General features: G+C 51.7%; 1 protein-coding gene across 1 annotated transcript in view, besides 2 other annotated features; it reads left to right on the top strand.

The window, feature by feature from the left end:
• Positions 6694-6743: a silencer, noted in NCBI's record as "silent region_18256". NCBI's record gives its function as "represses an Ori minimal core promoter by ATAC-STARR-seq in GM12878 lymphoblastoid cells {active_cell/tissue: GM12878}" and the evidence as "EXISTENCE:reporter gene assay evidence [ECO:0000049][PMID:35858748]".
• Positions 6784-6853: a silencer, noted in NCBI's record as "silent region_18255". NCBI's record gives its function as "represses an Ori minimal core promoter by ATAC-STARR-seq in GM12878 lymphoblastoid cells {active_cell/tissue: GM12878}" and the evidence as "EXISTENCE:reporter gene assay evidence [ECO:0000049][PMID:35858748]".
• Positions 7017-18222, top strand: part of MLXIPL (MLX interacting protein like) — a 54706-nt gene continuing 43500 nt past the window's right edge. The window contains exon 1 of the mRNA XM_047420437.1: positions 7017-7178. The gene's annotated coding sequence lies outside the window, so the exon portion shown is untranslated. The remainder of the gene's footprint in view (positions 7179-18222) is intronic.

The raw sequence follows: 18222 nt of genomic DNA, 5'->3' as shown, positions 1-18222 counted from the left end.
GCACAAACGTTTTTTATTCTATTTTGGTGAAGTCCATTTTACCTATTTTTTCTTCTCTTGCTTGTGCTTTAGTGTCCTATCTAAAGAACAATTTTCTAAATCAAAGTCACAAAGATTTATTTATTTATTTATTTTTTGAGGCAGAGTCTTGCTGTATTGCCCGGGCTGGAGTGTAGCGGTGTGATCATGGCTTCCTGCACCCTCCACCTCCCGGGTTCTAGTGGTTCTCCTGCCTCAGCCTCCTGAGTAGCTGGAATTACAGGTGCCTGCCACCATGCCTGACTGATTTTTGTATTTTTAGTAGAGACGGGGCCAGGCTGGTCTCGAACTCCTGATCTCAGATGATCCACCCACCTCAGCCTCCCAAAATGCTGGGATTACAGGTGTAAACCACTGCACCTGGCCCACAAAGATTTACTTTCTTTTTTTTTTTTTTTTTTTTGAGACAGAGTCTCGCTCTGTCACCCAGGCTGGAGTGGCGATATCTTGACTCACTACAACCTCTTCCTCCGGCTTTCAAGTGACCCTCATGCCTTAGCCTCCCAAGTAGCTGAAACCACAGGTGTGTGCCACCATGCCTGGCTGATTTTTTTGTATTTTTAGTAGAGATGGGGTCTTTTTATGTTGCCCAGGCTGCTCTCAAATTCCTGACCTCAAGTGAGGGAGGTCTGCCTGGGCCTCCCATAGTGCTGGGATTACAATTACAATTTCTTTTTTTTTTTTCTTTTTTTTTTTTTTTTTGGTGAGACGGAGATTTACTCTTGTTGCCCAGGCTGGAGTGCAATGGCGCGATCTCGGCTCACCGCATCCTCCACCTCCCAGGTTCAAGCGATTCTCCTGCCTCAGCCTCCCGAGCAGCTGGGATTACAGGCATGTGTCACCACACCTGGCTAATTTTGTATTTTTAGTAGAGACGGGGTTTCACTGTGTTGCCCAGGCTGATCTTGAACTCCTGACCTCAGGTGATCTGCCCTCCTCGGCCTCCCAAAGTGCGGGGATTACAGGCATGAGCCACTGCGCCCAGCTGATTACAATAACTTCTAATCTGCTTTGTCTCACTACAGGTTACCCTACATTTTCTTGAATTTTACGTAAATGAATCATATAGTATATACTTTCTGGGGGGCTTTTTTACTCACAATTATTATTATTATTATTTCAAGACAGGTTCTCACTCTGTCACCAAGGCAGGAATACAGTGGCACAATTACGACTCACGGCAGCCTCGACCTCCTGGGCTGAAGCAATCCTCCCGCCTAAGCCTCTCGAGTAGCTGGGACTACTGCCATGCACCACCATGCCTGGCTGATTTATTTATTTTTATTTTTTATAAAGGTATAATCCCACTATGTTGCCCAGGCTGGTCTTGAACTCCCGGGCTCAAGCTGTCCTCCCATGTCAGCCTCCCAAAGTGCTGGGATTACAGGTGTGAGCCACTGTGGCTGGCCCATTCCCCAATCATATGCTGCATTTCCACACCTCTTCTGCCTTAGCTCAAGACGTAGTTTCACCTAGAATGCTCTTCCTCCCGGCTGGGCGGGAGAGAACCAGGAGTTTGAGACCAGCCTGGCCAACATGGTGAAACTCCATCTCTACTAAAAATACTAAAATTAGCCGGGTGGTGGTACACACCTGTAATCCCAGCCACTCGGGAGGCTGAGGCAGGAGAATCGCTTGAACCTGGGAGGTGGAGATTGCAGTGAGCCGAGATTGCGCCACTGTACTCCAGCCTGGGTGACAGAGCAAGACTCCATCTAAAAAAGAAAAAAAAAAGAAAACAGAAAAGAAAAAAGAGAAAGGAATACTATTTCTCCCAATGTCTGATCCTAAAGCTGAAGGTTGTTGTAGAACTGACTCATCCTTCTCATCCTAGCCTCCACTTCCCCTCATGCACAGACTGAATCAGTCCTTTCCCGGCACGCTCCCTCACAGCTCTGATGCCAGCCTGCCCTGTACTGGAGTTCTTAGAGACTAACCTGTCCCCACTGTTAGACCAGAGGTCCTCTGAGGGCAGGGATGGCATTTATGTCATTTCTCCAGTTCCAGCTTCCAGCTCAGGATCTGTCACACGGCAGGTACAGAGAGCCAGGACACCAGGGCTCAAATTCCAGCTCCGCCGCTTACGGCCAGTATGAACCTCAAATGACCCAACCTCCCTGTGCCTCTGTCTCTTCTTCTGTAAAGTGGGGGAAACACACTCACTTCATCTGGTTGTGGAAGGGATTAAATGATTAACCCACATAAACAGCTTAGCAGGTGTGGGCGGGACCCTGGCAAGTAGTAAGTGTTTGGTAAATGTTAGTCAGAAGTGATACTGGGGGGCCGGGCGCGGTGGCTCACGCCTGTAATCCCAGTACTTTGAGAGGCCGAGGCAGGCGGATCATGAGGTCAGGAGATCGAGACCATCCTGGCTAACACGGTGAAACCCCGTCTCCACTAAAAATACAAAAAATTAGCCAGGTGTGGTGGCGGGCGCCTGTAGTCCCAGCCACTCAGGAGGCTGAGGCAGGAGAATGGCGTGAACCCGGGAGGCAGAGCTTGCAGTGAGCCAAGATTGAGCCACTGCACTCCAGCCTGGGAGACACAGCGAGACTCCATCTCAAAAAAAAAAAAAGAAGTGGTACTGGGGTCAGGCATGGTGGCTCATGCCTGTAATCCCAACACTTTGGGAGGCCGAGGCACACGGATCACCTGAGGTCAGGAGTTCAAGACCAGCCTGGCCAACATGGAGAAACTCCATCTCTACTAAAAATACAAAAATTAGCCAGGCGTGGTGGTGGGTGCCTGTAATCCCAGCTACTTGGGAGGCTGAGGCAGGAGAATCGCTTAAACCTGGGAGGTGGAGGTTGCAGTGAGCCGAGATCACTGCACTCCAGCCTGGGCGACACAAGTGAAACTCTGTCTCAAAAAAAAAAAAAAAGTGATAGTAACTTGTTGGGTCGAAGAGAGACTGCCCTAGGTATAGGTACTCTTCATATGAAGGGGAAGATACTTTATATTGATCTTCACAGCCAGGCACAGTGGCTCACACCTGTAATCCCAGCACTTTGGGAGGCCACGGCAGGAGGATTGCTTGAACCCAGGAGTTCAAGGCCAGCCTGGACAACATGGTGAGACCCTGTCTCTACAAAAACAAACAAAAATTAGCTGGGCGTGTTGGAGCCTACTAGTGATCCCAGCTACTCAAGAGGCTAAAGCAGAATGATCACTTTAGCCCAGGAGTTCAAGGTTGCAGTGAGCCATGGTGGACCCACTGCACTCCAGCCCAGGCTAAGAAGTGAAACTCTCTTTCTCAGAAAAAAAGAGGAGACCCTCCATGCCTCTCCACCTCCATTAAAGTCAGGGAGCACTCCACCAGAGGCCCCCTAATCCACCTCCCTTCCTTTCCAGCATCAAAGTAACCATGAAAATCTTCCTCCTTCAGAAAGCCCTCCAGGATTGCACTGCCTCTAGGAACTTCTTCTTTCTGCCTCTTCTCTTTGATGCCCTGTGACCACAGCTGAGTCCTGCACCCTACTTCCTATCTTCCCCCAGCTCTCCTCTTCCTCTGCAAGGGATACAAACAAACATCTCTGGACCACTTTCAGGTAGACCTGAGGTTTTTCACAGGGTGTAGCTGGAGCTAAGAGCATTCATGAGAGAGAGCATCTTTTATATTTTTATTTTTTAGAGACAGGGTCTCACTATATTGTTGCCTAGGCTGGTCTCAAACTCCTGGTGTCTAAGCGATCCTCCCACCTCAGTATCCCAAAGCGCTGGGGTTAGAGGCATGAACCACCATGCCCCACTGGAGAACATCTTATTCATACCTCCCTGCCTCTCCTGTTTTACATATGGGTAGGGTCAACCCAGGATGCCCAGTTAAATTTGAGTTTTAGATAAGCATTATGAATAATCTCTTAGTATAAGTATGCCACAAATATGGCATGAGACATACTTATACTAAAAAAAGCCATTGTGTATCTGAAATTCAAATTTAATGGGGCATCCTGGATTTGTATTTGCTAAATCCACCAACCCTATGTATGGGGAAACTGAGGCCCTGGGAGATGGAGTATCAGTATCATGCCCAGTTGCAGAGCCAGTCAATGTGGTGGTGGCTCAAGCCCCACTTCCTTTACACACACACACACACACACACACGCTGACTCTGGGTCCTGGCGCTGGCCATGAACAGGTGTCTGTCCAAGGTAGCAGACTGAAGCCTACTAGTAGGAGGTCACGTGACAAGAAACTCATGCAAGACAGGAAACAGTGGGCAGAGAAGGCCAAGCTGACCCACCAGGACGTATGAGGCAGGTGGAAGAAGCAGGAGGTGTCTTCATCTGCTTCCTTCTCAAGATGCACCCTTCCACCACCACCGCCCACCCTCAGGCAGAGTGAATTCCAAATGGGGTGTGGGGCTGGGCGCAGTGGCTCACACCTGTAATCCCAGCACTTTGGGAGGCCGAGGCAGGCAGATCACTTGAGGCCAGGAGTTTGAGACCAGCCTGGCCAACATGGCAAAACCCCATCTTTACTAAAAGTACAAAAAAACTGGCCGGGCGTGGTGGCATGCACCTGTAGTCCCAACTATTTGAGAGGCTGAGGCAGGAGAATCACTTGAACCCAGGAGGCGGAGGTTGCGGTGAGCTGAGATTGCACCATTGCACTCCAGCCTGGGTGACAGAGCGAGACCTTGTCTCAAAACAAATAAATGGTGTGTGGGCAGAATCTGATCAACTCAGGGTCTCTTCTGGGCTCGGGCTCAGCCTCATCCTCCGGCATGCCCCCGGCCTTCCCCCTGCGCTCTACCTCCTGCCATCACCAGGGGACTCTGAGGGGCATTATTGGCAGGATCCCTTCTGCCTCTGCTGCCCCCCGCTAGCCGTAGAAGGAAGGAAGCCCGTGGGGCTGGGAGGAAGCTGCCTCATTGCTGGGTAGGGTGGCTGTGAAAGCCCTTTCTTCTTTCCATCCCACACTGCCCGCTCCTGGCCGAGCGGTGGCCAGGGGGATCCTTCCTTCTACCCCACACGGCCCCTTGAAGCTGGCAGGCAAGCTGAGGTCCTGAATGCCCCCTTCCCAGGTGGTGCCTACTCCACAGGACCTCTGAGGACTTGGAGGCATCCATCCTGGACTTTGAAACTGATACCACCGCTGGCCTATCCCGCTCTCTCACTGGGCTGCTACGCCAAGGGTGTTTAAGGATGTTTGTGGAGTAAATGTAAGAGTCTGGGCCAGGCCCAGTGGCTTGCACCTGTAATCCCAGCACTTTGGGAGGTCGAGGTGGGAGGATTGCTTAAGACCAGGAGATAGAGACCAACGTGGGCAACATAGTGAGAACCCATTGCTTAAAAAAAAAGAGTTGAGAGGACACAGCACTAAGAGCAAGAGAGGGGAAGTCAGTGGGCCCCGGAAGGCAGGAAGGGCCTCAGGGAGGGGTGAGGAATGGGGGCTCAGGGAGGGGAGTGGGGTTTAGGGAGGGGATGTGATGTCAAGGGCAGGGAGGGTGGGGGCTTGAGGGGGGACTCAGAGGGAGCATGGGATGAAGCTGGTCAAAGAGGGAATGAATGGGGCTCAGTGAGCCAGATGAGAGAGAGACAGGAGATAGACAGTGAGAGAGAGAGAGAGACAGAGACAGAGGGAGAGACAGAGAGGGAGAGGAGAGGAAGAGAGAGGGGGGGAAAGGAGGGGGAGAGACAGAGTGAGAGACAGAGAGAAGGAAAGAGAGAAGAGAAAGGGAGAGAGAAGGGGGAGAGGGAGTGAGAGAGGGAAAGAGAGAAAGGCAAGGGGGGAGAATGAGAGAGAGAGAGAGGAGAGAGAGGGAGAGAGAGAAAGAGGAGGGGGTAGAGACAGAGAGAAAGTGAGAGAGAGAGAGGAGAGAGAGAGGGAGAGAGACAGAGTGAGAGAGAGAGGAGAGAGAGGGAAAGGGGGGAGAATGAGAGAGAAAGAGAGAGGGGGGAGAAAGAGAGGAGGGGGGAGAGAGAGAAAGTCAGAAAGTGAGAGAGAGAGGAGAGAGAGGGAGAGAGACAGAGTGAGAGACAGAGAGAGGAGAGAGATGGAAAGAGAGGGAGGAGAATGAGAGAGAGAGGGGGGAGAGAGGGAGAGAGAAAAAGAGAAGAGAAAGGAGAGAGAGAGGAGGGGATAGAGAGAAAGTAAAGGAGAGAGAGAGGAGGGTGGGAGAGAGAGAGGAGAGCCAGGGTCAGAGGGAAAGAGAGAAGACAGAGGGAGAGAGACGGGGCAGGGAGAGACAAGGGACAGAGAGACAGTGTGAGAGAGAGAGAGAAAGAAAGAGGAGGGGGAGAATGAGAGAGAGAGAGGAGAGAGGGGGGAGAGTGAAAAAGGAGGGGAATAGAGAGAGAAAGAGAAAGTGAGAGAGATAGAGGAGAGAGACAGAGTGAGAGACAGAGAGAGAGGAGAGAGAGAGGGAAAGAGAGGAAGGGGGAGAATGAGAGAGATGAGAGAAGGGGGAGAGAGAAGAGGGGGTAGAGAGAAAGTGAGGGGAGAGGGAGAGAGGAGCCTGGAGGAGAGAAGAGAGAGGGAGAGGAAAGGGAGGGGGAGAGAGAGAAAGAGAGAAAGCGGGGAGAGAAGAGAGTAAGAGTGAGGGATGAGAGTGAGAGAGAGTGCTGGGGGGACTCAGGGACTAGGAGGAGGTTCAAAGCCGGGCTGGGGCTCTGGGAGGAGCCCGAGGCGGTCCCAGCGTCTTTCTCTGCCCACCTGGGGTGGCCCCACACCTGCGGCTCCTCCCTCCCCGAGCCCAGCCCGCGGCTGGGGGCCGGGCACCGAGCCCCCGGGGAAAGTAGAGGGGGTTAAAGGTGAGCGGGCACGAGCCGGCGGCAGACGGGGATTGGCAGGCGCCCGAGCCCAGGGCCCGGGCCATGGCTGCCCCACAGGCCTCTGAGCGGCTGAGCGGCTGCCGCCCACGTGCTAAGGAGAGAAGGAGGCACCAGATCAAGGGGCAAAGGACACCTCGGAGCGGGGCGGGGGTGCCCGCGTCCACACCCGCTGCTAAAAGCCGGGCCCGCGGCGCAGCGCACGGAGCCCTCTGCCGCCCGCGCGGAGAAGGCGCCGGGCGCGGTCCGGCGGTCCCAAGCATCCCCGCAGCGCCCCCGCCGCCCGCCGCCCGCCCCTGGCCGCGCCGCGCCCCTCTGCAGGTCGAGCGGATTCCAGGTGAGGGCGTGGAGCCCCCGCGTCATCAGGTGGGTGCAGGGGCCTCACCCAAGGGGAATTGGATCCGCCTCTGTGCTGGGCCTCAGTTTCCCCTCTGCCCATAGAGGCGCGCGTCTCTGGCTCAGCTGGGTTGAAGGGGTTCATAGGCTTATGTGGCCTCCTCGCTCAGCCTCAGCTGCCAGGAGGAAGGAGGCAAACTCGTACCCCAGGGAGGACTCCGGATCAGGAATCCAAGAATTCATCCTGCTAGAAGGTGAAGTGCACACGGGTCCTGGAAGCCCCGTGTCTCCCACTGGCTGGACTGGGCTGGGCTTCCATCCTGGTCTGGGAGGTTCTCCCAGGAGCTGAGAGGGGGCCCAGGGAGTCAGGAGGGAGGGCCTTCCTCCCTCTGGCTCTCCCTGCCCTGGGCAGGTGACATGCCAGTGGAGAAACCCTGTCCAGGTGGGCCCTGGGATGAGGAGGACCAAAACTGCCCCTGGCTGGGACAGAAAGAAGGGAGATGGCAGGGTGGGGTATGTGGATTCTGGCCCCTAGGCTTCTAGCCAACAGGTGGGGGCCACAGAAGTGGTGGCCGGCACTCCTGCTGCTCTGCCCAGGGGGGAAAGCCAGGGCTTCCTCCCAGCCACCCTGCCCCCACCTCTGGGCTGGGTTTGGGAGCTTTGGGTTCTTGTCTGTGTCTGACTGTGTGACCTTGGGCGCACGACTTTCCGTCTCTGGGCCTGGCTCTCCCTCCGTGACATGGGAAGGTTTACTGTTCCTGGGCCACTCGTGTGGAGATGGGGACAGAGTAAAACGGAACACCAGGTTGCTTTGGGGGACAGTGTGGCCCACTCCAACCAAGTCCCTCTGGGCCTTCACAAGGGGGATGGTGTTACAGGGTCAGCTGAGTCAGGAAGTCAGGGGGACCAGGGATCTATGAGAGCTGAGCTGGTCCCCACTTTGCCCAAGAACTTATCTTACACTCAGCAACTCCCCTGCCCCATGTCCTGCCCAGGCCCTCAGATGCAGGAGAAGTCTCAGAATACAGGTCTGGGAATCTCAGGTCCGCCCCAGGGAAGCTCAGCTCCTCAGCCTAGGGTAGCTTCTGGGAGAGGAGGAAGATTCTGTAATACCAGAAGAGGTCTGAGCTGTAGTAGCCAGGAGTTTCCCCATCTTGAGAAGATGACCCATCTCACTTCTCCCTAATTGCCCCCTAAGGACACAGTCTGCTGGCTGAGCCAGGCCAGGGCTCAGTTTAGAATCAGGGTTGGGGCTCAGGCTGGGGTTGGGACTCAGCCTGGGGACCACATGGGAGGGCAGCTCAGAGCCAGGGTCCAGGAAGCATCCGCCTGGTGTCTTGGAATCCTGTGATTGAAATCCTCTGGCCGATATAGGGGTGGCACTGGTGGAGATGATGTTTGTCAGCTGAAGTGGAGGGCTGGCATATGAGCTTCTGCAGGCTGTAGAGTGGGATGGAAGAGTGGACTGGAAGCGTGGAAGTGGGAGAGGTCATGTCTCCGAGGCTCCTGCAGCCACACTTGCCCAGAGTCTCTAGTGCCTTCAGGCAATGGCCCTCCCTGGGTACCCTCCCCGGGGCTGTCTTTGGCCCTGCTGCCAGCCCTGTGGTGGCTAAATGCAAGCTTAGACATGTGTTGGGTTTGTCAGGGGCTGGGAGAGGCCATCATTAGTGCAGTCCTCACTCTCTGGTTAGGGCCAAAGAAAAAGTTTTGGCTACAGATGTGGGGCAGAGGAGGGAAGAGAGAGGGGACGTGCAGGCTTAGGATTGCTGTTCAGATAGGAGAAGAGGAAGAGGAACTGGGGTTTGCTATGCATTTACTGCAAGCCAGGCACTGCACAAGCTTTTCTGGCACTGTTTCCTTCTTCCTGATAACCAGAGAAGGAAAAGATCTCCATTTTACAGATGAGGAAACAGGCTCAGAGAGGTCAAGGCTCTGGCTCAAGGTCACACAGCCTGGGAACGGCAAAGCTGATATTCAAACCCAAGCATCTTGGCTCCAAAGCCCTGGTTTCTGTTCCCACTACTGTCAGTGACCTTGGCAAGCCCTGTCCTCCTCCGGGCTTCACTCTGCACACCTGTAACCTGGGGTTAAATGGGCTCGCCTGGACTGTTGAGCAGAGCTGGGAGGAGGTCTGGAAGCAACATGGGTGGTGCATTCTCTGCATTCAGGGAGAAACACACAAGAGGGGATTACATTGGCTGACCCCCAACCTCCCAGGTCAGCTCATGGGTGTCCATGTGTCCTGCGCCCACCTCACCCACCTCCACCCCCTCCCCACCCATCTTTCTCACTCCTGAAACTTAGGGGCAAGGTGGCTCTGTCTCTCCTCTTTGAAGTTAGCTAAGCTGACCTTGGAGAAGGGGGCCCCCAACAAGGGAAGAGTGAACAGAATATTCCCAGGGTAGGTCCTGGCACTGATAAATAAGAGACAGACAACTACTGCCCTAGGGCCAGAGGCAGTGGCTCAAGCCTGTAATCTCAACACTTTGGGAGGCCAAAGTGGGAGGGTTGCTTGAGGCCAGGAGTTCAAGACCAGCCTGGACAGCATAGAAAGATCTGTGTCTCTGCAACAAATTAAAAAATTAGCCAGGTGTGGTGGCACAGGCATATAGTCATAGCTACTCAGGAGGCTGACACAGGACGATCACTTGAGACCAGGAGTTTGAGGCTGCAGTGAGCTATGATGTCACCACTGCATTCCAGCCTGGGCAACAGAGCAAGAACCCCTCTCTTAAAAAAAAAAAAATGCTCTACCCAGAATCCCAGGCCACCCCCTGCTAGCTGGCTTGGGTAGTCACAAAAGTTCTTGTCCCATATTCAGCCCCATTAGCAGTGTGACTTTGGGCGAGAGATATGCTTCCTGGGATCCACTTTCTATCTCAGTCCAGGGGCCTGATGCCCTGATGGGGCCGGCATGGGGCCAGTTATCCAGCAGGGGAGAGGCCAGGAGATTCTGGGCAGAGCAGATGACTGTCACCTGCTGCAACAGTCTGAGAAGCGTTTTCCATCCCTGAGTCCCCTGGAGGAGATTGTCGCCCTATCTTCTTTGTCCTACAGCTCCTGGTTCTCTGACATTGTAATCAGAGATGTCGACCAGGAAGGAAGGAAAGAAGAAAGGGCGGGCTGGGGGGAGGAAAAGAGGGACAGAAGAAGAAAACCCACATTTACCAGGTACCACTGGCTCTCACTTACATATTTCATTTCATCTTTGCAACAACTGCACAATAACATCACATAGTCATAGCCATTTTAAAGATGAGAAAACCGGCAAGGCACAGTGGCTCGTGTCTGCAATTTTAACACTTTGGGAGGCTGAGACGGGTGGATCGTCTGAGGTCAGGAGTTCAAGACCAGCCTGGCCAACATGGCAAAACCCTGTCTCTACTAAAAATACAAAAATTAGCCGGGCATGTTGGCGGGCACCTGTAATCCCAGCTACTTGGGAGGTCCTAAGGCAGGAGAATCACTTGAAGCCTGGGGGTGGAGGTTGCAGTGAGCCGAGATCAAGCCACTTCACTCCAGCCTGGGAGAAAGAGCTAAACTCAGCTTCAAAAAAAAAAAAGACAAAACCAGTCCTCAGCCAGGTGCAGTGGCTCACATCTGTAATATCAGAGCTTTGGGAGGCCAAGGCAGGAGGATTGCTTGAGACCAGAAGTTTGGGACCAGTCTGGGCAGCCTAGTGAGACCCTGTCTCTACAAAAAAATTAGCCAAGCATGGTGGCACAAGCTTATAGTCCCAGCCACTCAGGAGGCTGAGGCAGAAGGATTGCTTGAGCCCAGGACTTTGAGACCAGCCTGGGCAACATAGTGAGACCCCCCATCTATATAAAAATTTTTAAAAATTAGCCAGGGGTGGTGATGCACACCTGTAGTCCCAGCTACTTGGGAGGCTGAGGCGGGAGGATCACTTGAGCCAGGAGTTCAAAGTTGCAGTGAGCCATGGTGGTGCCGCTGCACTGAAGTCTAAGCAAAAGAGCAACACCTTGCCTCCAAAAAATAAAATAAAGTGTCTACTATGTGCCAGCTGTCCCCTCTGTCCTAGTACCTGCTGATTAGCTCAGTCTTGGGTGGATTTACCTGACACATGATGTTTGCAAGGAGGCCTAAGGGACGGGTCATCCTTCAGTTCCACCAAGCAGCCCAGCAGAAAGACATACTTGGGCTCTGCCATCAGACACAACTGGGTTCAAATTTGGGCTGAACTACTCATGAACTGTGTAACCTGGATGACTGTCCTAATCTTTCTTTTTTTTTTTTTTTTTGAGACGGAGTCTCGCTCTGTCGCCCAGGCTGGAGTGCAGTGGCGCAATCTCGGCTCACTGCAAGCTCCGCCTCCCGGGTTCACGCCATTCTCCTGCCTCAGCCTCCCGAGTAGCTGGGACTACAGGCACCCGCCACCATGCCCGGCCAATTTTTTATATTTTTAGTAGAGACGGGGTTTCACTGTGTTAGTCAGGCTGGTCTCGATCTCCTGACCTCGTGATCCGCCCGCCTCGGCCTCCCAATGTCCTAATCTTTGTAACATATCTCACTACATGAGAGAATCAAATAAACATGTCTCTGAGCCTTGATGTGCTGTGTACAATAGGGACCCTCAGCCCTGAGCAACGGGCTGGTTGAGCAGATTGATGGATGAGACTCAATAGCAAATACACAGGGCCAGGCAGCCCACTGGCATCCCTGGCTGTGGTGCAAGGGGAAATATATTTGTGGTCTTTGACTGTGGCTCCTGGCACACAGCTCCTACAACCCTTGGAATCTCCAGAATGCTAAGAGTGTCTTTTGAAAGCTATTAAGAGGACTGGTGGCTGGAGGCCCCTAGAGAGTTTCAGGATGGGGGCTGTTCACTAGAAAGACCAAGGCATGATTAGAGGATTGGAGCTTTCAGCTCCCTGCCTCCCCAAACTTGGGGGAGAAGAGAGGGTTGGAGAATGCGTTCAGTCACATAATCAATCATGTCTACGTAATGAAACTTGCAGTGGCCAGGCAAGGTGGCTCACGCCTATAATCCCAGGACTCTGGGAGGCCAAGGTGGGAGCAGTGCTTCAACCTGGAAGTTCAAGACCAGACTGGGCAACATGGCAAGACCCTGTCTTATAAAATAAATAAATTTAAAAAAGGGCCAGGCATGGTGGCTCACGCCTGTAATCCCAGAAATTTGGGAAGCTGAGGCGGGTGGATCATCTGAGATCAGGAGTTTGAGACCAGCCTGGCCAAGGTGGCGAAACTCTGTCTCTACTAAAAATACAAAAATAAATTAGCCAGGGGTGGTGGTGCTCATCTGTAGTCCCAGCTACTCCAGAGGCTGAGGCAGGAGAATCTCTTGAACCCAGGAGGTGAAGGTTACAGTGAGCCAAGATCGCACTACTGCACTCCAGCCTGGGTGACAGAGTGAGACTCTATCACACACAAAAATAAATAAATAAATAAATAGAAACCTCCATTAAAAACCCCTAAATGTTGGGCTTCATGGAGCTTCTGAGTTTGTGAACACATCAAGGTGCTAGGAGGGTGATGCTCCCAGAGAGGGCATGGAAGCTCCGTGCACCACCCCCATACTCTAGCCCATGCATCTCTTCCATCTGGCTGTTCCTGAGTTGTATCATTGATAACAAACTGATAAATGTAAGTAAAATGATTTACTGAGTGCTGTGAGCCATTCTACCAAATTATTGACACTGAGGAGAAAGTCATGAGAACCCCTGATTTATAGCTGGTCAATCAGAAGTTCAAGTGGCAGCCTAGTACTTGTGACTGCTATCTGAAGTAGAGGCAGGCTTGTGGGAATAAGCCCATAACTTGTGAAATCGGATGCTAACTCCAGGTAAATAGTGTCAGAATTGGCCTGGCACAGTGGCTCACGTCTGTAATCCCAGCACTTTGGGAGGCTGAGGTGGGCGGATCATGAGGTCAGGAGTTTGAGACCAGCCTGGCTAACATGGTGAAACCCCATCTCTACTAAAAATACAAAAATTAGCCAGGCGTCATGGCATATGCCTGTAATCCCAGCTACTTGGGAGGCTGAGGCAGGAGAATCCCTTGAACCCTGGAGGTGGAGGTTGCAGGTTGCAGTGAGCTGAGATTGCGCCACTGCACTCCAGCCTGGGTGACAGAGCGAGGCTCCATCTCAAAAACAAAAAAAAGTGTCAGAATTGAATCGCAGGACACACAGCTGGTGTCAGAGAATTGAGAAATGGTGTCATAAGTGTGAGTAAACACCATTTGCTGGTATACGGTGGCTATCGGAATTTTTACAGACAGACCATTGGCACAGTGGCTCATCTTGGTGAAACACCACCTCCAGGTTCACCTTTGTGCCCTGCACTGCTATGATGCTGGTAGCACATGATCCTCCCCTGGCTCTTCACAACATACCCAAGAGGCTAGGTGAATTCCTCCCATGTTACAGGGAGGGCAACTGAGGCCCAGGGAGGACAAATGTCTTGCCTGAGGTGATCCATGGGTCCCCAGTGAGCCAACCTCCTGGGGAAAGAGGAAAGTCCCTTATAGGGTTTTGTTTTGTTTTTTAATCAAGGCTCACTGCAGCCTCACCCTCCCCAGCTCAAGCAATCCTCCTGCCTTAGTCTCCCTGGTAGCTGGGACTAAGGCACTCGCCACTACACCTGGCTAATTTTTGGTAGAGATAGGATTTTGCCATGTCACCCAGGCTGGTCTCAAACTCCTGGGCTCAAGTGATCCTCCTGCCTCGGCCTCCCAAAGTGCGAGGATTACAGACATGAGTAACTGTGCCTGGCCCCCTACAGATCTTTAGGCCCCTCAGAATGAGATTGTGAGTGGCAGACAAGCTAGGGTGGGAAGCTGTGCCTCTGTCTTCCCAGTGTCTGCTCAGGGACAGACTCTGGTTTGGTCAATCAAAAAGAGAGCCTTTTCCTGTTGTTGGAGAGCATTAATCTCTGGACTTTGGGGTCCTCAAGAAGAGGGAGAGGGTTCCCATGCCATCATCTGTTCTTTTTTTTCTCCTTTTTTTTTTTTTTTTTTGAGATGGAGTCTCGCTCTGTCGCCCAGGCTGGAGTACAGTGGTGCAATCTTGGCTCACTGCAACCTCCGCCTCCCGGATTCAAGCGATTTTCCTGCCTCAGCCTCCTGAGTAGCTGGGATTACAGGTGTGCACCACCATGCCCAGCTAATTTTTGTATTCTTAGTAGAGACAGGGTTTCATCATGTTGGCCAGGCTGGCCTCGAACTCCTGACCTCAAGTGATCCACATGCCTCAGCCTCCCAAAGTGCTGGGATTACAAGCGTGAGCCACCACGCCCGGCCGCCATCATCTATTCTACTGCCTCTTCTTATTTTCTTTACTGTTTTTGAGGGTTCTTTGCCATTTCTTTTTTTCTTTTTCTTTTTTTTTTTTTGGAGACAGGGTCTTGCTCTGTCACCCAGGAAGTGTAGTGATGCAAATTTGGCTCACTGTAGACTCCACCTCCTTGGCTCAAGTGACTTTTCCACCTCAGCACCCCAAGAAGCTGGGACTACAGGTGCTTGCTACCACACCTGGCTAATTTTGCTATTATTTTAAGAGACAGGGTTTCGCCATGTTGCCCAGGCTGGTCTTGAACTCTTGAGCTCAAGTGATCACTCTGCCTCCACCTCCCAAAGTGCTGGGATTACAGGCATTAGCCACCATGCCCGGCCCATAACTTTCTTTTTATTTTATTTTATTTTACTTTACTTTATTTATTTATATTTATTTTTTGAGATGGAGTCTCGCTCTGTTGCCCAGGCTGGAGTGGAGTGGTGCGATCTTGGCTCACTGCAAGCTCTGCCTGGGTTCACACCATTCTCCTGCCTCAGCCTCCCAAGTAGCTGGGACTACAGGCGCCCACCACCACACCTGGCTAATTATTTTTCTTTTGTATTTTTAGTGGAGACGGGGTTTCACCGTGTTAGCCAGGATGGTCTTGATCTCCTGACCTCGTGATCCACCCGCCTCAGCCTCCCAAAGTGCTGGGATTACAGGCGTGAGCCACTGCGCCCGGCCCATAACTTTCTTTTTAAATTAGCATTGCATCTTAGTTATCTTTTCCTATTCCTACACCTATAATAATAATGAGAGCTGGCATTTACTATCTAAGCACTTTGCAGGTATTAATTCACTTCATCCTCATAAAAATTATGAGATTATTATCTCCATTTTTTTTTTTAAAGATAGGGTCTCATTATGTTGCCCAGGCTGGTTTTGAACTCCTGAGCTCAGACGATCCTCCTGCCTCAGCCTCCTGAGTAGCTGGGATTACTGGTTCAAGCCACCACATCCAGCTATCTCCATTTCACAGATGAGGTTCTGTTAACACCTGCATAGTATTTCCCTATAGGGATTTATCAAAATGTATCCAACCATGCTGCTTTTCACTATTATAAACAGTGCTGTGAGGAATATCTTTGTTCATCTTTGCACACTCCTGGAAATATTTTATAGCACAAATTCCTAGAAGTAAATTTGATGGGTCAAAGAGTACCTACATTTTTTGTTTAATAGATTTTTCCAAAATACAGTCCCATGTTACTTATCATCCACAGATTAGGAAAATGGCCTATTGGCCCCTCCTGGCATTTCTGTTTCTTCCTGGCCTGGGATGGGGTTTTAAGCCTCCCCCGGAAGCAGCCAAAGTGGTACAGAAGGGGAAGTTTCTGAGCAAATAACATTGTGCCACCGAGTTCTTCCTCCCCACCGTCCACTCATCCTCAGCCTCACCACAGGCTGCAGCCCAGAGCACTAAGGGAAAGTCTTCCCTCTCCTCTCTACTATTTTTTTTTCTCCTCTCTACTATTTTTTTTCTCCTCTCTACTTAATTTAACCTCTAGTCAAAAAGTACTGGGTTGGGAATGAAAGACTTAAATGAGCCCCAGCATGGTGGCTCATGCCCGAAATCCCAGAAGGCCGAGGTGGGTGGATCACCTGAGGTCAGGAGTTCAAGACCAGCCTGGACAACATGGTGAAACCCTGTCTCTACTAAAAATACAAAAATTAGCTGGGCATGGTGACAGGTGCCTGTAATCCCAGCTACTAGGGAGGCTGAGGCAGGAGAATCGCTTGAACCCTGGAAGCAGAGGTTTCAGTGAGCTGAGATTGCACCACTGCACTCCAACCTGGGCCACAGAGTGAGACCCTGTCTTGGAAAAACAAACAAACAAACAAACAAAAGTACTGGGTTGGGAATTAAAGCCTTAGTTGAGGCCAGGTGTGGTGGCTCACACCTGTAATCCCAGCACTTTGGGAGGCCAAGGTGGGCAGATCACCTGAGGTCAAGAGTTTGAGACCAGCCTGGCCAACATGGCGAAACCTTGTCTCCACTAAAAATACAAAAATTAGCCATCCCAGCCACTTGGAAGGCTGAAGCAGGAAAATCGCTTGAACCTGGGAGGTGGAGGTTGCAGTGAGCCGAGATTGTGCCACTGCATTCCAGCCTGGGTGACAGAGTGAGATTCTGTCCCCAAAAAATAAAATAAATATAAAGTGTTAGATGACCTGTTCTGGTACCTCAAGCGAGTGACTTAATTTCTCTGAGCCTGTTCCCTCATCAGTAGCATGGAGTGATCAAAATCCCTGTTCATCTAGTCTCCCTCAGGGACAGGAGGAGAAAATGGTGTCCGAGGGTGCTATGGTTCCTGCCAAGGGCCAGGCAGAGACTGGTGGTTTTGTTGGTTGAACTTTGGGCCAGCTTTGGGTGTACAGATGGATGGGACAAGACCAGACCCTGGCCATGGGGAGCTCAGGGCTTGGTTAATGGGGGAGGCCAAAGGAAAAGAGGTAGGAAGAACATAGAGAAGGATTGAGACAGGCTGAGCCTGGCAGTGGTGCCACTGCGTGTTCCCCAACAGAGAGCCCAGAGGACTTGCCTGGTCCTTCTAGGGCCATTTGGGAATCCCCCACTGACCTCCATCAGTGCCCTTAGCATAAAGGGCAGGCCCCGGACCCGACCTCTCACCCTGCCTGACATTCTTTTTCCAGGTACTTCTCTCTTCCTCTCCTGTGTCCTCCCTGTCCCACACCCCAGCTCAGCCTAGCCTGGAACATGAGCTCACAGGAAGTTGCTGTCTGATGGGGAACAGCTGTGGGTTCAAATCTCAGCCCTGCCATCTACCATCAGTAAGAACCTTGGGCCAGGTATCCTATACAACGGGGCAATGGGGACCATGGTCCTTGCTCTGTCTGGCTCATAATGAGATAATGACCATGAAGCCACATTGGCAAAGGACATATGAGTGTAAGCTGTCTTGCGTATCAGTGCTTCTCAAACTGACTGAAAAGCCCCTTTTTGTTTTTTCTTTTTTTTTTTTTCCAGACAGAGTCTCACTCTGTCACTCAGGCTGGAGTGCAGTGGTGTGATCTCAGCTCACTGCAAACTCCACCTTCCAAGTTCAAGCAAGTCTCTCGCCTCAGCCTCCTGAGTAGCTGGGATTACAAGCGTGTGCCACCATGCCTGCTAATTTTTGTATTTAGGAGAGACGGGGTTTCGCCGTGTTGGCCAGGCTGGTCTGGAACTCCTGACCTCAAGTGATCCTCTTGCCTCGGCCTGCCAAAGTGCTGGGATTACAGGCATGAGCCACTGCACAAGGCCCCTTTTTGCTTTTTTATTTTCAATCTACATAGACTTGTGAGTATGCAAAATACAACAGAAAATGAATTACTAGAAAAATTGAAGTGAAGGAAATATGTAAATTATATGCCCAGTTTGTTATTCTTTTTTTTTTTTTGAGATGGAATCTCGCTCTGTTGCCCAGGCTGGAGTGCAGTGGCACCATCTCAGCTCACTGCAAGCTCCGCCTCCCGGGTTAACATCATTCTCCTGCCTCAGCCTCCCGAGTAGCTGGGATTACAGGCATCCGCCACCATGCCCAGCTAACTTTTGTATTTTTAGTAGAGACGGGGTTTCACCATCTTGGCCAGGCTGGGCTCGAACTCCTGACCTCTTGACCCACCCGCCTTGGTCTCCCAAAGTGCTGGGATTATAGGCGTGAGCCACCGTGCCCAACCTAAATTTTTTTTTAATTGATATAAGTGCTTCTAGACACTCTGAATTTTTGTGTTTATCTTGTTGCAAACTCATAACAG

The sequence above is a fragment of the Homo sapiens genome, chromosome 7 (genome assembly GCF_000001405.40).
Source record: "Homo sapiens chromosome 7, GRCh38.p14 Primary Assembly".
In the NCBI taxonomy this organism is placed as follows: Eukaryota; Metazoa; Chordata; class Mammalia; order Primates; family Hominidae; genus Homo; species Homo sapiens.
The sequence above is the reverse complement of the archived record's forward strand: the minus strand, read 5'-3'. Positions and strand labels throughout refer to the sequence as shown.